Source organism: Homo sapiens, chromosome X (assembly GCF_000001405.40).
Source record: "Homo sapiens chromosome X, GRCh38.p14 Primary Assembly".
NCBI lineage: Eukaryota > Metazoa > Chordata > Mammalia > Primates > Hominidae > Homo > Homo sapiens.
Window position 1 is genome coordinate 71301312 of NC_000023.11, and position 26950 is coordinate 71328261.

The following is a 26950-nucleotide window of genomic DNA, read 5'->3' on the forward strand; positions in this document are numbered from 1 at the left end:
GCATCAAATGGCTGGAGGGGTTGGCAAGGATTAGCGCTATTGATACTACATGGAAGTAATGATGGAGGAAAGCTGCCCCTCTGAAAGAGGAAGAAAATGGGCTTAATCCTCATCGAGCTGGGGGCGCGGGGGGGGTCTCAAAATTGGTATTTGTTTCTTAGCAGCTGCTGCTGTGTCCAAGGCTTGGAATTGCTGTGGTGAATCTAAAACTGTCTCAGTAGTGGTGAGCTGACCTCACCCAAGTTCAAAGCCCTACTCTGCCTGATCCTTTTTTCCTGAGCCTCAGAGCTAAAATGCCCCCGAGCTCTTTCCTATTGGCTGGAAAGACGAATTGAAGTTCCCTTGCCCATGTTAGGAGGTGTACGCCTCCTGAACTAAAGATAGAAACAGCTGGCCCTTCCAGGCAGCTAAAAGCCTCCAGACTAAGAGGTGTTCCCCATTCGGCAGCCAGACTCCTTGAAATACCCTTTCAGTAATCATTCAACCAACGCTTCCATGTCTCTACTCTGTCGTAACAAAGGCTGTGGGCAGCACTTTGACCCTAATACCAACCTTCCTGGTGAGTAAAGAATCCTGACCTGGCCAGGGGCTCTGTGTGGGTGTTGGGGACTGGTCAGCTGGGGGGCAGTGTGTTTGAGGAGCGGGGAAAGAAACTACCTGCCCTAGTTTAATTGGTCTGAGTGATCTTACAGCCTTTGCTGGCTTTTTTTTTTTTCTTCACATTATATGGGAAGAAACCATAAATAGAAACCCGGGGAAGAGGTGAAAAATGATACTTGGTATAGTTATCTTCCCTTCCTTGATAACTTCTACTGATGTCCACAGATTCCTGTTGCCATCACCCTGGGGTCCCAATCTTCCATGATGCACTTAAGGTGAGGAGTAGGTGAGGGGGGTTAGCAAGAGCATTTCCCAGAAGAGATAATACCCAGGAAGCTAAGCTGATCTGGGTCTCTTGTTATCAGGGTTGGTCCTGCTGCCGAAAGCGAACTGTAGATTTCTCTGAGTTCTTAAACATCAAGGTAAATTATTTATGTACTTGGATTCTGCCCCCAATAGAAGGATTCTATCCCTAATCCTATCTCCTTATCTATACTAGGGCTGTACTATGGGACCACACTGTGCTGAGAAGCTTCCTGAGGCCCCTCAACCTGAAGGCCCTGCTACAAGCAGTTCACTTCAGGAGCAAAAACCTCTGAATGTGATTCCAAAGTCAGCAGAGACCTTGCGCCGGGAGAGGCCCAAGTAAAGAGGAGGAGGCCCCTGGACTTTTCTTATTTTCATGTAGCTTCCTAGGAGTGATTAATGGGTCATTGAGGACTGGGAACTAGGGACCAGGGATGTGAGGAGGGCCAGATGTCAGGGTTTGGATGGTGTATATCCTGTGCCTTAGGGGAAATTTGTGTCTGGAAATAACGCCCTTTCCTCTAAGGTGGTGTGGGATGATGGGATAGATACCTGAATCAACAGAGTAGATAGCCCCTCACAAATACATCCTTAGTGTATAACACAAAAGGGATTGTTGAGAATGACTTCTCTTTCTAGAAAAGAACTTTAAGATAAATCTCATATCAAGAAAAGGATGTATTGTATTATTGGCAGCCAGGAGACTTCCCAAATTTTGTGGGAATAATAAGAGCAACAGAAGGAAGTCATATTAGGTCCACGATTAGATAAAGAGGAAGAGGATATGACTCAGTTCTGCAGAGAAAAGTGGTTAGGTTTAGAGCAACTGAGTAGATGGGTAAGAGAAGTGCTGGGGATTTCTCTAGGGTTCAGGTATTTGGGATGTCCACAGAGATGAAAATTGGCAATGGGGTTGCTACCCAACCTCTCCAACTCTGCCTCACTTTCACCAGGCTTCTTTAATTCCATTACCATCGGTGGGAGTGTTGGAGCTAGCAATCATAGCTAATGGGTCAGAACTAAATCACCACCCTTAACCCCTAGGTCAGAGTTGCCTCTGAAGCTGCTGCCGCTAAATATATCCCAAGCCCTGGAAATGGCATTGGAACAGAAGGAATTAGACCAGGAACCTGGGGCAGGTAGGTGGGTCTTTAGTAGGATCAACTTCATAGACTGGAATTTAGTGGAAGTGGCAATTGAGTGGGGGGATGGATAAGTTCCTGACTCTGTTTCCCTTGCCCAGGACTTGACAGTCTGATCCGGACTGGTTCCAGCTGCCAGAACCCAGGATGTGATGCTGTGAGTGAGAGTTTTGAGGGGCTCAAGCATATGGCTGAGGGATGACTGGGTATAGATAGGCTGAGTAGGATATACCTTAGAATGACCTGGTTCTACTTTATCCTTCTTAGGTTTACCAAGGCCCTGAGAGTGATGCTACTCCATGTACCTACCACCCAGGAGCACCCCGATTCCATGAGGGGTGAGGGAGGGGACTGGGTGGGCTATGAGGCTATGAGACAGGTTTCTCCTAATATTTGGTCATAAGATAATATTGGGGGTGAGAGAATTCAGTTGAATTATCTTCCTACTTCAGGATGAAGTCTTGGAGCTGTTGTGGCATCCAGACCCTGGATTTTGGGGCATTCTTGGCACAACCAGGGTGCAGAGTCGGTAGACATGACTGGGGGAAGCAGGTAAGCCCCAGCTTTCCTGAACTCTTGATTAGAACCCAATCTCAGAGGTAAATTCTCCTCCCTCTCTGTACCACATAGCCAAGCTCCCTGTCTTCTCCCTTTAGTATAGACCAAATAAGATTCTGCTCCTTATCCCTCAACAGCCCAGAGGTTTTGCAATATGAGGTTGTGTTAATCTTTTTGAGACTCTCTGTCTCTTCTCCACGTGCATCATGAGAACTCCCCTTCAGTTAAGAATTTATTCTTACCACCTGCATTTCACATCTTCTCTTTAGCTCCCAGCATCTTGCCGCCATGATTGGCACCAGACAGATTCCTTAGTAGTGGTGACTGTATATGGCCAGATTCCACTTCCTGCGTTTAACTGGGTGAAGGCCAGTCAAACTGAGGTGAGCAATGATCTGATGTTGGATGGGAGGATAGTCAATTGGGTGATACTACAATCTCACAGGCAGAGTTGCCATTTGCTGTTAACCTGTAGGCTCCATAGTACCCTTAGAGGAAAGGAGAGTTATTAGGTCAGGGCTGTCTGGCCAACCTGTGGATCATACCTCTGACCTGGTTATCTGTCGTAATGACCTATTCTGACCTTCTGGGTTTGTTACTACCCCTGTAATTCTTTTCTCTCAGCTTCATGTCCACATTGTCTTTGATGGTAACCGTGTGTTCCAAGCACAGATGAAGCTCTGGGGGGTAAGTGAAGACCAGGGGACACAAGAGTGGGAGGCAGATGGGTGAAAGAGCGGCTAGACTGGAATAGAGGGTGTCTTGAGGGAAGGAGTTGTACTAGGAAAATGGAGGTTTTCTCTTCATTTGCTTTCATTTTCTCTCTCTCTCCTACTCTTCCTATTTCCCTCTTTCCCTCCCCTCTTCCTTCTCCCTTTTCATCTCTCATTTCTTTCCTCTCTCTCCCTTATTGTCTTATTCCTCCCTTACCTTTTTTCTTACCTTATTAAAAATTTCTCTCTCTCATTTGTCACCACTCCACCCTGACCCCAATGCCTTTGATTTCCTCATTCTCTCTTTCTTCTGTTTTCCTTTGCTCCTCCTCAGGTCATAAACGTGGAGCAGAGCTCTGTCTTCTTGATGCCATCTCGGGTTGAAATCTCCCTGGTCAAGGCTGACCCAGGATCCTGGGCCCAGCTGGAGCACCCTGATGCACTAGCTAAGAAGGCTAGGGCAGGGGTTGTGTTAGAGATGGATGAGGAAGAATCTGACGATTCAGATGATGATCTGAGCTGGACAGAGGAGGAGGAAGAGGAGGAAGCAATGGGGGAATAGTGACACCAGACAGTTGATGTCTAGATAGGACCTCAATGATTCCCTTAGAATCTTAGATACCAGGATATTGTTGGCCATGTGGCATCATTGAGCAGCAGGAGGCTGAAGGAGGGGAGAACAAAATTGTCCAAACCATGCTGTTTTTTTCCCTTAAATAAATCTTGTATTCTTCAGTTTCACATAGTGTCATTCTCTCACCTCACTATCTAAGATTGTATTTATTACCCCCAACTGTGTGTTCAACACACATTGTGAAAACAAGCACATGCACATTCAATCTATTCCTCATAAACACCAGGTATTTACTGAGTACTCCCTATGTGCCCAGTTATGTGTTAGGTGGTTTAGAAATATCTGAGAAACAGAAGACTTACTCATTTCTCTCAACAAAGTAACAACCTGGCTGACAAGTCAAGACCAATCTACATGAAATAATAATAAACATTATCAGGTAGTTTAACTGAGTGCCAAATTGTGCAGTACAGTTTTTAAGAGCTGTAGTTGAAAGAATGGAAAAGTTAATGTGGACAGTAGCAAAAGGGAAGACTCCGTGGTGGAAGAAGTCCTTTTTTTTTTTTTTTTTTTTTTTTTAGACGGAGTCTTGCTTTGTCGCCCAGGCTGGAGTGCAGTGGTGCGATCTCGGCTCACTGCATCCTCTGCCTCCTGGGTTCAAGCGATTCTCCTGCCGAGTAGCTAAAACTACAGGCGCTTGCCACCATGCCCAGCTAATTTGAAATACAGTTTATTTTTTTCTTTGGTTGCTTATGCTTTTGATGTCATATCTAAGAAACCATTACCTAATCCAAGGTCATGAACATTTGTCCCTACCTTTTCTTCTTTTTTTTTTTTCTTTTTTTTTTGAGACGGAGTCTTGCTCTGTTGCGCAGGCTGGAGTGCAGTGGCGCAATCTTGGCTCACTGCAAGCTCCACCTCCGAGGTTCACGCCATTCTCCTGCCTCAGTCTCTTGAGTAGGTGGGACTACAGGCGCCCGCCACCTCGCCTGGCTAATTTTTTGTATTTTTAGTAGAGACGGGTTTCAGCGTGTTAACCAGGATGGTCTTGATCTCCTGACCTCGTGATCTGCCCGTCTTGGCCTCCCAAAGTGTTGGGATTACAGGTGTGAGCCACCACGCCCGGCCCCTATGTTTTCTTCTAAGAGTTATACAGGGCTGGGCGCGGTGGCTCACGCCTGTAATCCCTGCACTTTAGGAGGCTGAGGCACATGGATCACCTGAGGTAGGGAGTTCGAGACCAGCCTGGCCAACATGATGAAACCCCGTCTCTACTAAAAATACAAAAAATTAGTTGAGTGTTGTGGCACATGCCTGTAATCCCAGCTACTCAGGAGGCTGAGGCAGGAGAATCACTTGAACCTGGGAGGCGGAGATTGCAGTGAGCCGAGATTGCGCCACTGCACTCCAGCCTGGGCAACAAGAGCAAAAACTCCATCTCCAAAAAAAAAAGAGTGATATAGTTTTTTAGCTCTTACATTTAGGTCATTGATTCATTTTCAATTAATTTTTGTATGTGATGTGAAGTAGGGGTCCAACCTTATGCTATTGCATGTGGATGTCCAGTTGTCTCAGTACCATTTGTTGAAAAGACTATTCTTTTTCCCATTGAACTGTCTTGGTTCCCTAGTTGAAAATTAACTAACCATAAATGTGAAGGTTAAGAAGTCCAGTTGACCCTTGAACAATGCAAGGTTGGGGCACTGACTCCCCACACATTTGACTTCTTTTTTAAAATTTTTATTTATTTATTTATTTATTGAGACAGAGTCTCACTCTGTTGCCCAGGCTGGAATGCAGTGGCATGATCTTCGCTCACTGAAACCTCCACCTCCTAAGTTCCAGCGATTCTCATGCCTCAGCCTCCTAAGTAGCTGGGATTACAGGCATGCGCCACCACACCTGGCTAATTTTTTTTATTTTTAGTAGAGACGGGATTCCACTATGTTTCCCAGGCTGGTCTCAAACTCCTGATCTCAAGTGATCCTCCCACTTCTGCCTGCCAAAGTGCTGGGATTACAGGTGTGAGCTACCACACCCAGCTACCACATAGTGGACTTTTTTTTTTTTTTTTTTTTTTTTTTTGAGACAAGAGTCTAGCTCTGTAGCCCAGGCTGGAGTGCAGTGGGGCAATCTCGGCTCACTGCAACCTCCGCCTCCCGGTTTCAAGCGATTCTCCTGCCTCAGCCTTCTGAGTAGCTGGGATTACAGGTGCCTGCCATCACGCCCAGCTAATTTTTGTAGTTTTAGTAGAGACGGGGTTTCACTGTGTTGGCCAGGTTGGTCTTGAACTCCTGACCTCGTGATCTGCCCACCTTGGTCTCCCAAAGTGTTGGGATTACATGCGTGAGCCACTGCCCCCAACCCATAGTCAACTTTTGACTTCCCAAAAACTTAACTACTAATAGCCTACTGTTGACCAGAAGCCTTACTGATAACATATAGAGTCAATTAACACATATGTTGAATGTTATATGTATTATATACTACATTCTTACAATAAAGTAGGCTAGAGAAAAGAAAATGTTATTAAGAAAATCGGCCGGGCATGGTTGCTCACGCCTGTAATCCCAGCACTTTGGGAGGCCAAGACGGGCGGATCACGAGGTCAGGAGATCGAGACCATCCTGGCTAACACGGTGAAACCCCGTCTCTACTAAAAATACAAAAAAAACACAAATTAGCTGGGCGTAGTGGCAGGCGCCTGTAGTCCCAGCTACTCGGGAGGCTGAGGCAGGAGAATGGTGTGAACCCGGGAGGCGGAGCTTGCAGTGAGCCGAGATTGTGCCACTGCACTCCAGCCTGGGCGACAGAACAAGACTGCGTCTCAAAAAAAAAAAAAAAAAGGAAAATCATAAGGGGCTGGGTGAGGTGGCTCATGCGTGTAATCCTAGCACTTTGGGTGGCCGAGGTGGGCAGATTACTTGTGTCCAGTTCAAGACCAGCCTGTACAACATGACAAAACCCCCTCTCTACAAAAACATACAAAAAAATTAGCCAGTCATAGTAGCGCACACCTGTAGTCCCAGCTACTTGGGAAGGTAAGGTGGGAGGATCACCTGAGCCCAGGAGATCGAAGCTGCAGTAAGCCATGATTGTCGCAATGCACTCCAGCCTAGGCAACAGAGTGAGACCTTGTCTAAAAATAAAATAAAATAAAATAAGGAAGGGAAAATATATGCATTATTCATTAAGCGGAAGTGGATTATCATAAAGTTCTTCATCACTGTCTTCATATTGAGTAGGCTGAGGAGGAGGAGGAGGAAGATGAGGGGTTGGTCTTGCTATCTCAGGGGTAGCAGAGGCAGAAGAAAATCCACATATAAGTGGACCCATGCAGTTAAAACCCTTGTTCAAGTGTCACCTGTACATTTGAATGGAAATCTGAATAATGAGAAATTAATTTTGATGGGTATGAAAGATTAGGGAGAGTGATACTAGGGCAAAAGTTGTTTTAATTTATTTATTGTGTTTCATTTTAAATTCCAAATGTAGTACATTATCACTGTAAAAAAATTAAATGCAGAAGTATGTAGAGTAAAAAGTAAATGCTTCTCTTCAGAGTCTCTCCAAGCTTAGTCCTCTTTCTATTTGTAAGCAGTGGTAACATGTCAGAGGTTATGTTGAAGAAAGAAGATGAAAAAGTTAAATGGAGTGTGGCTAGATTAACAGGAACCTAAAATTCTAGGTCAAGGATTTTGAAAATGATTTAAAAAGAGAGTTAAAAGGGCATTATAGGCCTTTAAATAAAAAAAAAAAGAATGTAGATTCTCTTTTTTGTTTTTTTTTTAAAGACAGGGTCTCGCTCTGTCTCCCAGGCACACAGCGGCCGCAGTCTTGGCTCACTGCAACCTCTGTCTCCCAGGTTCAAGCGATTCTCTGCCTTACCCTCACGATTAGCTGGGACTACAGGCATGCACCACCATGCCCGGCTAATTTTTATATTTTTAGTAGAGACGGGGTTTTGCCATGTTGGTCAGGCTAGTCTCAAACTCCTAGCCTCAAGTGATCTGCCCACCTCGGTCTCCCAAAGTGTTGGGATTATAGGTGTGAGCCACCATGCCCAGCCAATTCTTTTTTTTTTTTTTTTTTTTTGAAGCAGAGTTTTACTCTGTCACCCAGGCTGGAGTGCAGTAGCATGATCATGGCTCACTGCAGCTGTGACCTCCCCGGCTCAAGCAATCCTCCCACCTCAGCCTCCTGAGAAGCTGGGACTACAGGCGTGCGCCACCATGCCTGGCTAATTTTTTGTATTTTTAGTAGAGGCCGGATTTTGCTGTTTCCCAGGCTGGTCTCAAACTTCTGGCCTCAAGCAATCCTCCCAGCTCAGCCTCCCAAAGTGTTGGGATTACAGGTGTGAGCCATTGCACCCGGCCAAATGTAGATTCTATCTATCTATCTATCTATCTATCTATCTATCTATCTATCTATTTATCTATCTATCTAACTATCTATCTATCTATGAGACGGAGTTTCACTCTTGTTGCCCAGGCTGGAGTGCAATGGTGCAATCTCAGCTCACCGCAACCTCTGCCTCCCGGGTTCAAGTGATTCTCCTACCTCAGTCTCCCGAGTAGCTGGGATTACAGGCACCCGCCACCAAACCCGAGTAATTTTTTGTATTTTTAGTAGAGACGGGGTTTCACCAGCTTGGCCGGACTGCTCTTGAACTCCTGACCTTGTGATCCACCCGCCTTGGCCCCCTAAAGTGCTGGGATTACAAGTGTGAGCCACAGCACCCAGCCTCAAATGTAGATTCTTAATCAGAGGAGGAGGGAGGAGTGAGGAGTGATCTCTCTCTCTCTTTTTTTTTTTTTTTTTTTTTTTGTTGTTGTTGTTGAAATGGTGTCTTGCTCTATCATCCAGTCTGGAGTGCAGTGGTGCCATCTTGGCTCACTGCAACATTCATCTCCCAGACTCAAGTGATCCTCTCACCTCAGCCTCCCGAGTAGCTGGGACCACAGGCACACGCCACCACAACTGCCTAATTTTTGTATTTTTTGTAGAGATGGGGTTTTGCCATGTTGGCCAGACTGGTCTTGAACTCCTGGACTCAAGCGATCTGCCCGCCTCAGCATCCCAAAGTGCTGGGTTACAGACACACGCAACAACGACCGGCTAATTTTTGTATTTTTAGTAGAGATGAAGTTTCACCATGTTGGCCAGACTGGTCTTGAACTCCTGACCTCAAGTAATTCGCCTGCCTTGGCCTCCCAAAGTGCTGGGGTTACATGTGTGACCCACTGCACCCAGCCCATTAATCTTAAATGTACAACTTTTTTCTTCTTATCAAAATCAGGGAACCAGCAAATATCCAGAAGTTCTGAAGAGAACAGAGGTGAGGAATCAAAAGTTCAAGTAACCCTCGGCCAGGTGTGGTGACTCACGCCTATAATCCCAGCACTTTGGGAGGCTGAGGCAGGTGGATCACGAGGTCAGGAAATCGTGACCATCCTGGCTAACACGGTGAAACCCCATCTCTACTAAAAATACAAAAACAAAAATTAGTTGGGCGTGGTGGTGGGTACCTGTAGTCCCAGCTACTCGGGGAGGCTGAGGCAGGAGAATGGCGTGAACCTGGGAGGCGGAGCTTGCAGTGAGCCGAGATCATGCCACTGCACTCCAGCCTGGGCGACAGAGTGAGACTCCGTCTCCAAAAATAAAAATAAAAATAAAACAAAACAAAACAAAAGTTCAAGTAACCCTCGTTGTATATAAATTCAATATAGAAAATTTGAAAGTCAAGTGCGGTGGCTCTCACCTGTAATCCCAGCACTTTGGGAGGCCAAGGTGGGCAGATCACTTGAGGCCAGGAGTTCGAGACCAGCCTGGCCAACGTGGTGAAACCTCTCCTCTAGTAAAAATACAAAATTTAGCCGGGCATAATGGTGGGCACCTGTAATCCCAGCTACTCAGGAGGCTGAGGCAGGAGAATCACCTGAAACCGGGAAGTGGAGGTTGCAGTGAGCCAAGATCATGCCACTGCACTCCAGCCTGGGCAACAGAGCTAGACTCTGTCTCAAAAAAATAAAAATTGAAATTTATAGCATTAATAAAGTAGGGTACTAGCTCATTTCACATGGACAAAGCCTAAAAGGTGAGAAATTTTCAAGCAGGTGTATGACATGAAAAACAACAATAGCCATAGTTACCATTTCTGATACAAACTAACTGTGCCAGGCACTATGCTAAGTGCTTTGCATGCATTATCTCATTTAATCCCCCATTTCCCACCATCAAATCTACATATTTGCTCACATTAGAACAAATCCTCTCCCTACCTCCTTTTATACTTCTCATTTCTTCCTACTGTATGCTATCCCCTCACACCTTCCCAGAAACCTTCCACTATTAATTATCCCTTCTCTCTCCTGTTTATTCAACAATTCCCGCTCATTGAGTTTTTTTTTTTTTTTTTTTTTTTTGAGACGGAGTTTTTCTCTTGTTGCCCAGGCTGGAGTGCAATGGCAGGATCTTGGCTCACTGCAACCTCCACCTCCTGGGTTCAAGCGATTCTCCTGCCTCAGCCTCCCGAGTAGCTGGGATTACAGGTGCCCGCCACCATACCCAGCTAATTTTTGTATTTTTAGTAGAGACGAGGTTTCACCACGTTGGCCAGGCTGTTCTTGAACTCCTGACCTCAGGTGATCCACCCGCCCAAAGTGCTGGGATTACAGGCGTGAGCCACTGCATCTGGCCTCATTGACATGTTTTTATTGACATTTAAATATGCTCTAGTTTCTCCAGTCTTACAAAAATAATTTCCCTTGAGTTCACATCCCTCTCTAGCTACCACCTAACACCCTTCTATCTGTTGTAGCCAAACTTCTTGACATAACTATTCTTTTTCCATTTCCTTCTTCTTACTCCCTTATTAATATAACACACTCTAATCTGACTTCCTCAGTTTGTGGTGATAAGGTCACCAATGACTATCAAATCACTAAATCCAATGGATACTTTTAGTCCTCATCTCACTTGACCTGTCAAGCAAAATATGACAAGAAATACTCCTTGAAATACTTCGATACATTGACTTCTGTGACCCATCATGCCTCTTCTTTGTCTTACTTCTCTGGCCATTCCTTTCAATCTCATTTTTATTTTTATTTATTTATTTTTTCAAATAAATATTTTTAATATATTTTTTTCTTGGAATGACAACAATAGTATTACTATGATAGTATTAACTTTTCTTATTTTTATTGCTTTTACTAGTTAAAAGGTAATAAATGGGTGTTCTTTCAAAGTTAATATAGAAATATACAAAGTAGAAAATTAAAGACTCTCGGCCGGGCGCGGTGGCTCATGCCTGTAATCCCAGCACTTTGGGAGGCGGAGGCGGGCGGATCACGAGGTCAGGAGATTGAGACCATCCTGGCTAACACGGTGAAACCCCGTCTCTACTAAAAATACAAAAAATTAGCCGGGTGTGGTGGTGGGTGCCTGTAGTCCCAGCTATTCGGGAGCCTGAGGCATGAGAATGGCGGGAGCCTGGGAGGCGGAGCTTGCAGTGAGCCGAGATTGCGCCACTGCACTCCAGCCTCGGCGACAGAGCGAGACTCCGTCTCAAAAAAAGAAAAAAAAAGAAAAAGATTCTCTAATCCCATTCCCATATAACTACCTGCAGACAGAATGGGAAGATTTAGTCATAAATACAAAGAAGATACATGGAAAAAAATAGACAATTATTAACTCTAGAAAAAATATAATCATAGCATACTCCTCAGCTCAGAAGTGAAAAGTATTTACATGGTCATTAAAAAAAATACATATGCATTTTCCCCCAATTATTTATTTATTTATTTATTTTTATTTTTTTATTTTTTTGAGAAGGAGTCTTGCTCTGTCCCCCAGGCTGGAGTGAAGTGGCGCGATCTTGGCTCACTGCAAGCTCCACCTTCCGGGTTCAGGCCATTCTCCCACCTCAGCCTCCCGAGTAGCTGGGACTACAGGCGCCTGCCACCACACCTGGCTAATTTTGTTTTTGTGTTTTTAGTAGAGACGGGGTTTCACCCTGTTAGCCAGGATGGTCTCGATCTCCTTATCTCATGATCCACCCGCCTTCGCTTCCCAAAGTGCTGGGATTACAGCGTGAGCCACCGTTCCCGGCCATAATTTTTTTTTTTTCTTTGAGACAGAGTCTTGCTCTGTCGCCCAGGCTGGAGTGCAATGGTGCGATCTCGGCTCACTGCAATGTCCGCCTCCCAGGTTCAAGCGATTCTCTTGCCTCAGCCTCCCAAGTAGCTGGGATTACAGGTGCCTGCCACCATGCCCTGCTAATTTTTGTATTTTTTAGTAGATACCAGGTTTCACCATGTTGGTCAGGCTGGTCTCGAACTCCTGACCTCAGGTGATCCACCCACCTCGGCCTCACAAAGTGCTGGGACCCAAAATTTTTAACACAGCCACATTGGGAAGATTGAGGAAGGTAGGAGAAGTATAAGAGATTGAATAATCCCCTTTATTCTTTTATTAAGTGACAGAAATATATGTATTTTATTTAGCGACATGCATGCACATATGAGTAGTTTCTTCTAGGGAATGGAATTTGGTGCTATGGGTAGGGCAGACAAATAACACCTGTGTTTGATTTTAAGCCTTTTAGAGCTATGTTACTTTATATTTTATTAGGTATTTACAATTTATTTTATAGGTATTTACAATTTATCCAGATTGGGATAAAGCTACAAGAAATATGACAAAACACCCATATTTAAAGACAAAATTTTCATGAAAAGTGTATTAACATAAATAACAATAAATCATTCAACTTTTCGGTCTTCAGGAAGTTTGTGTTTTTGTTGTTGTTGTTGTTGTTTTTTTTGAGGCGGAGTCTCACTCTGTCGCCCAGGCTGGAGTGCAGTGGCGTGATCTCAGCTCACTGCAAGCTCCGCCTCCCGGGTTCACGCCATTCTCCTGCCTCAGCCTCCCGAGTAGCTGGGACTATAGGCGCCTGCCACCATGCCCGGCTAATTTTTTTCTATTTTTAGTAGAAACATGGTTTCACCGTGTTGGCCAGGATGGTCTCGATCTCCTGACCTCGTGATCTGCCTGCCTCGGCCTCCAAAAGTGCTGGGATTACAGGCATGAGCCACCGCTCCCAGCCAATTTTTTGTATTTTTAGTAGAGACGGTGTTTCACTATGTTGGCCAGGCTGGTCTCGAACTCCTGACCTCGTGATCTGCCCACCTCGGCCTTCCAAAGTGCTGGGATTATGGGCGTGAGCCACTGCTCCCGGCCTCAAATAAAATTTTAAAATATCTTTTTTCAGCCAGGCACGATGGCTCACGCCTGTAATCCTAGCACTTTGGGAGGCTGAGGCAGGCAGATCACCTGAAGTCAGGAGTTCCAAGACCAGCCTGGTCAACATGGTGAAAGCCTGTCTCTACTAAAAATACAAAAATTTGCCGGGTGTAGTGGCATGTGCCTGTAGTCCCAGCTACCTGGGAGGCTGAGGCAGGAGAATCCCTGGAACCTGGGAGGAGGCAGAGGCTGCAGTGAGCCGGGGTCACACCACTGTACTCCAGCCTGGGGGACAGAGTGAGACTCCATCTCAAAAAAAAAAAAAGAGAAAATATATCATTTTTCTTGGGATGACAGTAATAGTATTAACATGATAGTATTCTTATTTTTATTAAAATTAGATCGTCAAGATTGTTACTAACAAATCTTGATTTTTATTACTGTGCTAGGGCAAGATTTTAATCACTAAGTTCTTCCTCATCACGGAAATATGTGCTGTTCTTTATCCTTGGGGGTCTTGACTCACCTGATGTTGAGGGGCCTCCTGAACTGGGTTTCCATTTTTTTTGTTCTTCAATTTTGGCTTGCTGGAATGCTATGGCCTGACTGAGGCTGTCAAGAGCAGGATTCTCCCCTTCATCTTCACTTTCTACTACTTCCTCAATTTCTTCTGGTTCAGGAGCTTTCTTTTTTTTTCTTTTTTTCTTTCTTCTTTGGAGGCTCACGTTCTCCAAGCATATTTTTCGGACAGGCATAACTTAAGTGTCCATTTTCCCCACATTCATAACACTTGGATTTATCAAAGTAGTTTCGCCTTCAGATGAACACAGCTGCTCTTCCATTGTCAATAGCAATGCTTCCTCTTTTTTTGTTTTTTGTTTTGTTTTGTTTTGTTTTTTTTGAGACGGAGTCTTGCTCTGTCGCCCAGGCTGGAGTGCAGTGGCATGATCTCCGCTCACTGCAACCTCTGCCTTCCAGGTTCAAGTGATTCTCCTGTCTCACCTCCCTAGTAGCTGGGATTACAGGCGTGCCACCACACCCAACTAGTTTTTGTATTTTTAGTAGAGATGGAGTCTCATCATGTTGGCCAGGCTGGTCTTGAACTCCTGGGCTCAAGTGATCCGTCCGCCTCGGCCTCCCAAAGTGCTGGGATTACAGGCCTGAGCCACCGCACCCAGCCAATGCTTGCTTTTATCACTCTACCAAATAACTGTTTGTTGTTTATTGCCCTGGTACAGTTTTGTTCAGTCTTTATCCAAAAATACAATAAATGCAACCCCTTTACTCTTCCTGATATCTTTATCTTTCATTATGGTAACCTTTACAACTTTGCCATAGTTGGAAAATATCCGGTACAAGTCATTGTCAGGGAAAAGGGCAAGCTGGATACATACACTGTGCTCTTACTTGGAGCCAATCCACCACTCATTTCTTCAGGTGTGACGGTCCTGGGAGACCAGAAGAGTGCGAGCCCTCGGCTCAGCTGGGGCTCAACCCCGACTCTTCATAGCTGCTCGCAGCGGCCTTGGCATCACGAGTCCTGGGACTCATTTTTACACTCCTCCTTTTCTTCCTGGCCATTCAGTGATTCAGTTCCTTAGGACTCAGTCCTAGGATTGCACTCTTCTCATATAACTCTTCCAGACACCCTCAGTTATGTACATGACTTCAAATATCACCCCCATGCAGATGACTCACATTTTAATCTCTAGGCCATATCATTCCACTGAGGCTCAAATCCAGTAAGCATGTGTTTGCTATTATTATTACTGCTGCTACTATTCTTTTTCTTCACTGGAAGTTTTTTACCTCAGCATGTTAGGAAAGTTAGATGATTTTTTTATGGAAGGGGTGCGGACACATCTCCAATATCCAATTTTATAATGTTTCATTAAGAAAATAGGATTTTCGTGACAGGTTTTACACCTCTATAAAGTGATAGCATATTTACCACACAATTGCATCAGCTTCAGGATTAAGGGAGACTGTATTCACCTGATGAGGGAGTACAGTATTTTGTATAGAATGCCACTGTGCTAGGCACTTCTACCCACATTATTTTATTTAATCCTCACACTTGCTCTGTGAGGTAGGTATTATTATCACAACTTCTTATAGATGAGGAAACTAGGGAACAAAATAGAAAATAGCTTGCCTGGGATCATACAGCTACTGAAGAGCTGTCCTAGAGTCATTTGAAAACATCTACAACCTAAAAACCTAAAAGGGATCTTGGAAGAGGATCTTGATATGATGACCCTCTAGCCTAGCAGAGTCCCTTTGACAAGACTAACTGGGGAACAGGGAGGCTCTTGGTTGATCAGTGATATCTTACATTGATGTAAGGCTTTTCCAAATAACTTTTACATCTCTGATCACCTGCTCTCTAACCTCACTGAGATGCCTAGGTACTCTACCTCTCAATTCATCCAGATGAAGTAATTATCTCCCAGTTATAGTAGTTTTCTCTCCTACACTCCATGAACTGCCACTCCAATGTTACTGTCTCTGAGACCTCTGCCTCCATTATCCTCTTTCTTCCTTTCTGCTCCCAAAGTCCCAGAAACTGCTAGAGGGAGAACGAAGTAGACAAATATAAATTCATGCTGTCCAATTTCAACTTGGCCCTTGCAGCTGCTCAGCAACCCTTTTATTTGTCTCATACATTCCCTGGCACTCTCCCACAGAGGCTGTTCCAGACCTTCCTCTTCTTAAATTCCAACTCCTCCTGTTCCACTCCTTCAGACTAATCTGTGCACTTTCATCAGATGCTTGAGAATTCAATAACATTGTTTTAAAACTTTTTAATAAAGAATTTATAACATGTATAAAAGTAGACAGACTAGTATAATGAAAGTATTTCAGTATATATCTCTAAAAAGTAAGAATTATTTTTTAAAAAATCATATTAGCACACATAAACAATAATTCCTTCATATCAGATACCAAGAAGATACCTTCATATCATCAAATACCAAGTATTTTTATATATATATATATATATATATATATATTTTTTTTTTTTTTTGAGACGGAGTCCCACTGTATCACCCAGGCTGGAGCTCACTGCAACCTCCACCTCCCGGGTTCAAGCCATTCTCCTGCCTCAGCCTCCCAAGTAGCTGGGATTACAGGTGCCCACCACCACGCCCAGCTACTTTTTGTATTTTTAGTAGAGACGGAGTTTCACCACGTTGGCTAGGCTGGTCTCGAACTCCTGACCTCAGGTGATCCACCCGCCTCGGCCTCTCAAAGTGCTGGGATTACAGGCATGAGCCACCACGCCCATTCTCTCTCTCTCTCTATATGTGTATATATATGTGTATGTGTATATATATGTGTGTGTATGTATATATATGTGTGTGTGTGAGTGTGTGTGTGTATATATATATATATATTTAGACAGAGTTTCGCTCTTGTCTCCCAGACTGGAGTGCAGTGGCACAATCTCGGCTTACTGCAACTGCCGCCTCCTGGGGTCAAGCGATTCTCCTGCCTCAGCCTCCCAAGTAGCTGGGATTACAGGCGCCCGTCAGCATGCCCAGCTAACTTTTGTATTTTTAGTAGAGACGAGGTTTCACCATGTTGGCCAGGCTGGTCTCAAACTCATGACCTCACGTGAGCCACCACGCCCAGCATTTTTTTTCTTTTTTTTTTTTTTTATACAGAGCCTCACTCTGTCACCCAGGCTGGAGTGCACTAGCATGGTCTCTGCTTACTGCAACCTCCACCTCCCGTGTTCAAGTGATTCTCGTGCCTCAGCCTCCCAAGTAGCTGGGACTACAGGTGCACACCCCCACATCCAGCTAATTTTTTTTTTTTTGACACTGAGTATCGCTCTGTCGCCCAGTCTGGAGTACAGTGGCAGAATCTCATCTCACTGCAACCTTCGCCTCCCGGGTTCAAGCAATTCGCCTGCCTCAGCCTCCTGAGTAGCTGGGATTATAGACGGGTGCCACCACGCCCAGCTAATTTTTGTATTTTTAGAAAGACGGGGTTTCATCATGTTGGCCAGGCTGGTCTTGAACTCCTGACCTCAAATGATCTGCCTGCCTCGGCCTCCAAAAGTGCTGGGATTACTGGCATAAGCCAGCATGCCCAATTTTTGTATTTTTAGTAGAGACGGGGATTCACCATGTTAGTCAGGCTGGTCTCAAACTCATGACCTCAAGTGATCCGCCCACCTTGGCCTCCCAAAGTGCTGGGATTACAGGTGTGAGCCACCATGCCCAGCACAGGAACCCTTAATTTAAAAGTGACATATACTGGGGCTGGGCGCAGTGGCTCAGGTCTGTAATCCCAGCACTTTGGGAGGCCCAGGCGGGCAGATCACTTGAGGTCAGGAGTTCAAGACCAGCCCAACCAACATGGTGAAACACTGTCTCCACTAAAATCACAAAAATTAGCTGGGTGTGGTGGTGGGCGCCTGTAGTTCCAGCTACTTGGGAGCCTGAGGCAGGAGAATCGCTTGAACCCAGGGTGGGGGGGCATGGGGGGAGGTTGCAGTGAGCCGATATCATACCACTGCACTCCAGCCTGGGTGACAGAGTGAGATCTCCCTCTGAAAAAAAATAAAAATTAAAATTAAAAATTAAAGGTTATCTTTATCTCATTTTTTCCTTGCAATGTTTTCATTGAAGGAATTGGATTATTTTTCAGTAGAGTTTCACACAATCTGGGTTTTGCTGATTGCAATTTTGTCACATAATTTGTTTCCTTGACCTGTATGTTGTATATATTGATATAAAATCAATAACATCTTGGCTGGACGCGGTGGCTCACACCTGTAATCCCAGCACTTTGGGAGGCTGAGGCGGGCGGATCACAACATCAGGAGTTCCATACCAGCCTGGCCAATATGGTGAAACCCCATCTCTACAAAAAAATACAAAAATTAGCCGGGCGTGGTGGCGGGCACCTATAGTCCCAGCTACTCGGGAGGCTGAGGCAGGAGAATCACTTGAACCTGGAAGGCAGAGGTTGCAGTGAGCTGCACTCCAGCCTGGGCCGTAGAGTAAGACTCCCTCTCAAAAAAAAAAAAAAAAAATCAATAACATCTTTTTTTTTTTTTTTTTTTTTTGAGACAGAGCCTGGAGTAGAGTGGCACAATCTCGGCTAACTGCAACCTCTGCCTCCCAGGTTCAAGCGATTCTCCTGCCTCAGCCTCCCAAGTAGCTGGGACTGCAGGCGCCCGCCACCACACCCGGCTAATTTTTGTATTTTTAGTAGAGACGGGGTTTCACCATGTTGGCCAGGCTTGTCTCAAACTCCTGACCTCAAGTGATCCGCCCGCCTCGGCCTCCCAAAGTGTTGGGATTATTGGCGTAAGCCACCGTGCCTGGCCTACATTGCGTCTTTTATATTAATTGTCCCAGGTTTTTTTGTTTTTTTTTTTTTTGAGATGGAGTTTCGCTCTTGTTGCCCAGGCTGGAGTGTGGTAGAAAAATCTCAGCTCACTACAACCTCCGCCTTCCCTTTTCAAACGATTCTCCTGCCTCAGCCTCCCGAGTAGCTGGGATTACAGGTGCCCACTACCACGCCCGGCTAATTTTTGCATTTTTAGTAGATACTGGGTTTCACCATGTTGGCCAGACTGGTCTCAAACTCCTGACCGTGTGATCCCCCACCTCAAGCCCTCAAAGTGATGAGATTACAGGCATGACCTACTGCTTCTGGCCTCATTGTCCTGTTTTTAATGGTGACCAAGGAAATGGAAGATGTCTGGCTTGGAAAGTGACTTAGGAAGGAGCTGGGACCTCTTTAATAAGACTGAAACACATGGTTGGCGTGAAAGCTTAATAAATAGTAACAAAGGTCCAGGCAAGATAGGATGGGTGAGGGGCCATGTAGTGTCATATTTCTACTCAGCTGGTATGTAGAACATGTCAGGCAGGGAAGCAATTGGGCTAAAGACAGAACTGGAAAAGGAGAAGTAGCAGTTGAGGAAGCAGCTGGGATTATTTCTCAGGGGATTACTCTAAACTATACCCTGTTTTCTAAATATATCTTATTAATTCCCACCTCTGTGCCTTTGTCCAGGATGTTTGTCCTGGTTGGAATATCATCTCCTTTCTCTTCACCTATCCAAATCCTACTTATCTTCTTTTTTTTTTTTTTTTTTGGAGACAGAGTCTAGCTCTGTCGCCCAGGCTGGAGTATAGTGGCGCAATCTCAGCTCACTGCAACCTCCACCTCCTGCATTCAAGTGATTCTCTGTCTCAGCCTCCCGAGTAACTGAGATTACAGGTGTGTGCCACCACGCCCAGCTAATTTTTTGTCTTTTTAGTAGAGATGGGGTTTCACCATGTTGGCCAGGCTGGTCTCGAACTCCTGACCTCAAGTGATCCACCCACCTCGGCCTCCCAAAGTGTTGGAATTACAGGCGTGAGCCACCGTGCCCGGCTTTTTTTTTTTTTTTTTTTTTTTTGAGACAGAGAGTCTGCTCTGTCATCCAGGCTGGAGTGCAGTGGCGTGACCATGGCTCACCACAGCCTCAACCTCCTGGGCTCAAGTGATCCTCCCATCTCAGCCTCTTGGGTACCTGGTACTACAGGCATGCACCACCATGCCCAACTAATTTTTAAATTTTTTGTAGAGACAAGGTCTTACTATGTTGTCCACGCTGGTCTCAAACTCCTAGACTCAAGCGATTCTCCCATCTTAGCCTCCCAAAGTGCTGGGATTACAGGCTAGAGCCACTCCACCTGGCCTCCAAATCCTACTTATCTGTTGTAAAATTTATTTTTGTAATTTTTTTTTGAGATAGGATCTTCCTCTGTTGCCCAAGCTGGAGGGTAATGGTAGGATCATGGCTCACTGCAACCTCGACCTCCTGGACTCAAGTGATCCTCTCAGCTCAGCCTCCCAAGTAGCTGGGACCACAGGCTTGTGCCACCAGGCCTGGCTAATTTTTAATTTTTTTTTTTTTTTTTTTTGAGGCGGAATCTTGCTCTGTCACCCAGGCTGGAGTGCAGTGGCACGATCTCAGCTCACTGGAAGCTCTGCCTCCCGGGTTCAAGCAATTCTCCTGCCTCAGCCTCCCCAGTAGCTGGGACTACAGGCGCCCGCCACCACGCCCGACTAATTTTTTTGTATTTTTAGTAGAGACAGAGTTTCACCATGTTAGCCAGGATGTCTCAATCTCCTGACCTCGCGATCCACCTGCCTGGGCCTCCAAAAGTGCTGGGATTACAGATGTGAGCCACCACGCCCGGCCTAATTTTTAATTTTTATAGAGACGTGGTCTTGCCATGTTGTCCAGGCTTATCTTGAACTCCTGAGCTCAAGTGATCCTCCCACCTTGGCTTCCCAAAGTGCTGGAATTACAGGTTTGAGCCACCACACCCGCCCAATCCTACTTATCTTTAACAGGCAGTGCAAATTCCTTCTTTTCCATATTTTTGCTTATAGAGTCATAAAATATCTCTGGAAAGATAAATAAGAGATAAATAACATTTATTGCTTTCCCAGGAATGGAACTGGATGTCTAGAGGATTGAGCTGGGAGGGAGAAAGATACTGATTTGTTGCAGGAGGGATAGTTAATGTAATGAAACTGTCTAATATGAAGTTTTTAGAAGTAGAAGGAGGGAGACTGGAATTTGTAGTTTGAAGAGAAAGAGGAAGGTCTGGAACAGCCTCTGTGGGAGAGTGCCAGGGAATGTATGAGACAAATAAAAGGGTTGCTGAGCAGCTGCAAGGGCCAAGTTGAAATTGGACAGCATGAATTTATATTTGTCTACTTCGTTCTCCCTCTAGCAGTTTCTGGGACTTTGGGAGCAGAAAGGAAGAAAGAGGATAATGGAGGCAGAGGTCTCAGAGACAGTAACATTGGAGTGGCAGTTCATGGAGTGTAGGAGAGAAAACTACTACAACTGGGAGATAATTACTTCATCTGGATGAATTGAGAGGTGGATTACCTAGGCATCTCAGTGAGGTTAGAGAGCAGGTGATCAGAGATGCAAAAGTTATTTGGGGCCCAGTGTGGTGGTTCACACCTATAATCCCAGCACTTTGGGAGGCTGAAGCAGGCAGATCACCTGAGGTCAGGAGTTCAAAAACAGCCTGGCCAACATGGCAAAACCTCGTCTCTACTAAAAATACAAAAATTAGCCAGACGTGGTGGCATGCACCTGTGGTTCCAGCTACTCGGGAGGCTGAGGCAGGAGAATCACTTGAACCCAGGACGTGGAGGTTGCAGTGAGCCACGATCATTGCACCACTGCACTCCAGCCTGGGCAACAGAGTGAGACTCCGTCTCAATAAATAAATAAATAAATAAAAGTTATTTGGAAAAGGCTTATATCAATGTAAGATATCTCGGGATAGCCTGGGAGTCTCGCTCTGTCTCCCAGGCAGGATTGTGGTAGCATGACATCAGCTCACTGCAGTCTCTACTCCCGGGCTCAAGCAATTCTCCTGCCTCAGCCTCCCGAATAGCTGGAACTACAGGCATGTGCCACCATGACTGGCTAATTTTTGTATTTTTTAGTAGAGATGGGGTTTCCCCATGTTGGCCAGGCTGGTCTTGAACTCCTGACCTCAGGTGATCCACCTACCTCAGTCTCCCAAAGTGCTGGGATTACAGGCGTGAGCCACCACGCCTGGCCTATTACTATTTTTTTTAATAGATGAGGAAACAATCCCTGGGATGTTATATGATTTTCCTTAGGTCACACAGCTGGCAAGTGTCAGAGCAGGGACTTAAATCCAGGTCTGACTACAAAACCCATATTCTTTTTTTTTTTTTTTACTGCATGTCATGAAATTCAAAGCCTATATTCTTTGATGTCCAGCAATACTTTTTCAGCAAACACTCCCCTCTATTAAATGAATCTTATTTTGCCAGTGACATCTGTTGTAAAATTATAAATGCATTCTCACCAAAGAAACTATACAGAGTTAAAAGCTTTCAGTGACCAAGGGGTTAACTGGGTAGGGTGAGAGAGAAGCTTGGAGGCACTGAAATGAGTTGAAGGTAATTGCAGTGGTCCAAGGGAGAAAGATGAGACTCCAGATTAACGGTATGGTAGGAAAAATGGAACAGGGGGTAATGGATTTAAGAGATAGTTCCAAAGGTAGGAGTGAAAGTAATGTGGCCATGCTGGTCTTCTGTATTCCCTGAACGTATACAGCTCACTCCTTCCTCAGTTCGTCTGCACTATCTGATACTCCTGCCTGGAATTCTCTCTCTCTCTCTTTTTTTGTTTTTTTGACAGGTTCGCGCTCTGTTACCCTGGCTGGAGTGCAGTGGTGATCTTAGCTCACTGTAGCCTCCACCTCCCGGACACAGGTGATCCTCCCACCTCAGCCTCCCAAGTAGCTGAGACCACAGATGCACGCCACCATGCCCAGCTAATTTTTTTGTAGAGACATGGTTTCGCCATGTTGGCCAAGCTGGTCTTGGAACTCCTGGGCTCAAGCAATTTGCCTACCTCAGCCTCTCAGTGTTGGGATTACAGTCGTGAGCCACTGCGCCCAGCTGGAATTCTCTATTTTTTTTTTTGAGATGGAGTTTTGCTCTTGTTGCCCAGGCTAGAGTGCAATGGTGCGATCTTGGCTCACTGCAACCTCCACCTCCTGGGTTCAAGCTACTCTCCTGTCTCAGCCTCCTGAGTAGCTGGGATTACAGGCAAGCACCACCATGCCCGACTAATTTTGTATTTTTAGTAGAAACAGAGTTTCTCCATGTTGGTCAGGCTGGTCTCGAAATCTTGATCTCAGGTGATCTGCCCGCCTCGGCCTCCCAAAGTGCTGGGATTATAGGCATGAGCCACCGTGCCCGGCCTTCCAGCTGGAATTCTCTTACTCCAGATCTTTTTTTTTTGAGAAGGAGTTTTGCTCTGTCCCCCAGGCTGGAGTGCAGTGGTACAATCCCAGCTCACTGCAACCTCCACCTCCCTGGTTCAAGTGATTCTCCTGCCTCATCCTCCCAAGTAGCTGGGATTACAGGTGCCTGCCACCACACCCAGCTAATTTTTGTATTTTTAGTAGAGACAGGGTTTCACCATATTGTCCAGGCAGGTCTCGAGCGCCTAACCTCAAATGATCCACCCACCTCAGGCTCCCAAGGTGCTAGAATTACAGGCGATTACAGGCGTGAGCCACTGCGCCTGTTTTTTTTTTTTTTTTTTTTGAGACAGGGTCTCACTGTGTTGCCCCGGCTGGAGTGCTGTGGTGTGATCACAGCTCACTGCAGTCTCAAACTGCCAGGTTCAAGCGATCCTCCCGCCTCAGCTCTCCAAGCAGCTGAGACTATAGGCATGCACCACCATGCCCAGCTAATTTTTGTATTTTTTGTAGAGACAGAGTTTCGCCACATTGCCCAGGCTGGTCTCAAACTCCTGAGCTCAAGCGATCTGCCCACCTCCCAAAGTGCTAGGATTACAGGCACGAGCCACCACCCCTGGCCTCTTCCTCCAGATATTTGAATAGCTGGCTCTTCATTCAGGTCTTAGCTCAAACATCATCTCTCATGATGGGAACTGATTAATTATCTTGAAAACTGGTCAATGAAGGGGAAAAAAAATCAAACATTTATCCTGCCTTTCCTAGGTGAACTGGGTAACAAAATAGTAGATGAGAGGACATGTTGTTACACAACTATTCCAATGAATAAAAAGAAAAATAATAGAATATAACAATTTTTAATTCTCAACAAATAGATATAGGTAGTGAGCATTAACAACTTTTTGTTTTGTTTTGTTTTGTTTTGTTTTGTTTTGAGATGGATTATCGCTCTGTCGCCCAGGCTGGAGTTCAGTGGTGCGATCTCAGCTCACTGCAACCTCCGCCTCCCGGGTTCAAGCAATTCTGCCTCAGCCTCCCAAGTACCTGGGACTACAGGCATGTGCCACCATGCCTGGCTAATTTTTGTATTTTTAGTAGAGATGGGGTTTCACCATGTTGGCCAGGCTGGTGTTGAACTCCTGACCTCAAGTGATCTGCCCACCTTGGCCTCCCAAAGTGCTGGGATTACAGGCATGAGCCACCATGCCCAGCCTAAAATGATTTTTTTTTTTTTGAGATGGAGTTTCGCTCTTGTTGTCCAGGCTGGAGTGCAGTGGCCTGATCTTGGCTCACTGCAACCTCTGCCTCCTGGGTTCAAGTGATTCTCCTGCCTCAACCTCCTGAGTAGCTGGGATTACAGGCGCCCGCCACCATGCCCAGCTAATTTTTTGTATTTTTAGTAGAGATGGGGTTTCACCATGTTGGCCAGGCTGGTCTTGAACTCTTGACTTCAGGTGATCCACCTACCTCGGCCTCCCAAAGTGCTGGGATTACAGACGTGAGCCACCGCCTCTGGCCATTATTTTTTAAAATTAAAAAAAAAAAAAAGGCCAGGTGTGGTAGCACACACCTGTAATTTCAACACTTTATGAGGCTGAGGCAGGAGGATCCCTTGAGTCCAGGAGTTTGAGACCAGCCTGAGGAACATGGCAAAAACTTGTCTCTACAAAAAAATACAAAAATTAGCCAGGTATGATAGTGTGCACCTGTAGTCCCAGCTACTCAGGGGGCTGAGGCAGGAGGATCACTTGAGCCCAGGGCATGGAAGCTGTAGGGAGCCAAGATGGCACCACTGCACTACAGTCTGGGCAACAGAGTGAGAACCTGTCTGTAAATAAATAGGGCTGGGCGTGATGGCTCACGCCTGTAATCCCAGCACTTTGGGAGGCCAAGGTGGGCAGATCACCTGAGGTTGGAATTTCGAGACCAGCCTGACCAACATGGAGAAACCCCGTCTCTACTAAAAATACAAAATGAGCCAGGCATGGTGGTGCATGCCTGTAATCCCAGCTACTCAGGAGGCTGAGGCAGGATAATCTCTTGAACCACAGAGGTGGAGGTTGCAGTCAACCAAGACTGTGTCATTGCACTCCAGCCTGGGCAACAAGAGTGAAACTCCGTCTCAAAAAAATATGTAATAATAATAAATAAAACCTCTCAGAAATGCCTTTTTTGACCATCTTCTTGTTATAAGTAAAATGTTTATTCAGAAACAGAATGCTTGTTCCTCGGTACCACAAGGAAAAATTAGCATTCAGACAAAAAGTTTTCTCAGCAAGGCAATTTTACTTTCTGCAGAAAGTAAAATTTCTGCATTGTTCCATCTGTGAGGAGCACCCTTTCTGTAGAAAGTAAAATTGCCTTGCTGCGAAAACTTTTTGTCTGAATGCTGATTTTTCCTTGCAGTACCGAGGAATAAGCATTCTGTTTCTGAATAAATATTTTACTTATAAGATTCTCTAAATTAGCACCTACTGTCTCAGTGACTATCACATTACCCTGTTTGATTTTTTCCATAGCCCTTATTGACTGAAGTTTCCTTACATGAGAAGCAATAGAACATGATTGTTGAAAGGGCAAACTATAGCAGCAGGATGCCTGGATTTAAATTTTGTCTCTCTACTTACTAGCTATATGATCTTCAACTACTTAAGAGCTCTATGCTTCAGTTTCCCCAATTGTAAAATGGGGATGATAACAGTGCTTATATCATGGAGTCATTAGGAGTATTAAATGAGTTAACACATCCAAAGCCCCTAGCCCAGTGCCTGGTACAGGGTAAACATATGTTAGCAATTGTATTGCATAATTACTTGTTTACATGTACATTGTTTCTCTTTCACTAGAATATAAGTCTATCTTAGTGCACTCTTCCCAGCAACTAAAATTGCCTAGCATGTGTGATTAATAAATATTTGTTGAATGCAGGACCTAAACTGGAATGGCAAAGAACAGATAGGAGAGAGGCTGGGTGCAGTGGCTCACACCTGTAATCTCAGCACTTCGGGAGGCCGAGTCAGGTGGATTGCCTGAGCTCAGGAGTTTGAGACCAGCCTGGCCAACATGGGGAATCCCCATCTGTACTAAAAATACAAAAAATTAGCTGGACGTGGTGGTGAGTGCCTGTAGTTTCAGCTACTCGGGAGGCTGAGGCAAGAGAATCACTTGAACTCAGCAGGTGGAGGTTGCAGTGAGCCGAGATCGTGCCACTGTACTCCAGCTTGGGTGACAGAGCAAGACTTTGTCTGAAAAAAAAAAACAAACAAACACCAACAAACAAACAAACAAAAAATAGGAGAGAGACATGTAAAATATTATTAAAAAGAAGAAGAAAACCCTGAACTTAATTTTTTTTTTTCTGATGAGGAGGGAAGGGTATAAGATGACTCCAAGGCTTCAAGCTTAAGTAACAACTGGAAAGCTAGTGCTTTTAACAAAAATAGGAAAACCATGAACTGGAACTAATATTATTTGAATATTATTCTGATAATTAATTTTATTTTAGGTATGAGTTTGAAGTAATGGCAAAACATGTCAGTGGACATGCTAGCAGGCAGTTAATTGTAAATGCAGCATAGGAGTTCATGAGAAAAGTCCGCACTGAAGATAGGTTTGAATATCACCTGTGTCATTGTGACACTTAAATATTCAACATTCTGATATGAGCTTCCATCATCTCTAAAAAGCAACAAACTTGCAGAAGTGAATACAATGGAAAGTAAAAGACTTGAACCCTCCAATTTATTCTTCAGAGAAAGTCACTATTAGCAGTAGTGAGCCGAGATCACGCCACTGCACTCCAGCCTGGGCGACAGAGCGAGACTCCGTCTCAAAAAAAAAAGAAAAAAAAAAAATTAGCCGGGTATGGTGGCACATGCCTGTAGTCATGGCTTCCCAGGAGACTGAAGCAGAAAGATTGCTTGAGCTCAGGAGTTCAAGGATATGGTGAGCTATGATGGTGCCACTGCACTCCAGCTTGGGTGATAGCGAGACCCTGTCTCAAAAAAATAATAATAAGGCCGG

General features: G+C 45.1%; 1 protein-coding gene and 1 pseudogene across 3 annotated transcripts, besides 1 other annotated feature; one reads left to right on the forward strand and one right to left on the reverse strand.

Moving 5' to 3' along the window:
* Nucleotides 439–4060, forward strand: ITGB1BP2 (integrin subunit beta 1 binding protein 2). 3 transcript variants are annotated; one of them, NM_012278.4, is made up of 11 exons: nucleotides 439–559; nucleotides 826–875; nucleotides 966–1022; nucleotides 1100–1245; nucleotides 1951–2045; nucleotides 2150–2205; nucleotides 2316–2386; nucleotides 2501–2600; nucleotides 2876–2989; nucleotides 3231–3293; nucleotides 3654–4060. In NM_012278.4, exons 1-11 carry the CDS (start codon nucleotides 496–498, stop codon nucleotides 3879–3881), a joined length of 1044 nt encoding a protein of 347 aa, NP_036410.1. In that variant the 5' UTR covers nucleotides 439–495; the 3' UTR covers nucleotides 3882–4060. The 3 variants fall into 3 exon arrangements, with proteins under 3 accessions (NP_036410.1, XP_047297944.1, NP_001290206.1); XM_047441988.1 differs by lacking the exons at nucleotides 966–1022; nucleotides 1100–1245; NM_001303277.3 differs by lacking the exons at nucleotides 826–875; nucleotides 966–1022; nucleotides 1100–1245.
* Nucleotides 2237–3436: an enhancer, noted in NCBI's record as "BRD4-independent group 4 enhancer chrX:70523398-70524597 (GRCh37/hg19 assembly coordinates)". NCBI's record gives its function as "activates an origin of replication core promoter dependent on BRD2, P300/CBP, MED14 and CDK7 cofactors, and independent of BRD4, by STARR-seq in HCT116 cells {active_cell/tissue: HCT116}" and the evidence as "EXISTENCE:reporter gene assay evidence [ECO:0000049][PMID:35650434]".
* Nucleotides 13473–14685, reverse strand: ZCRB1P1 (ZCRB1 pseudogene 1; annotated as a pseudogene).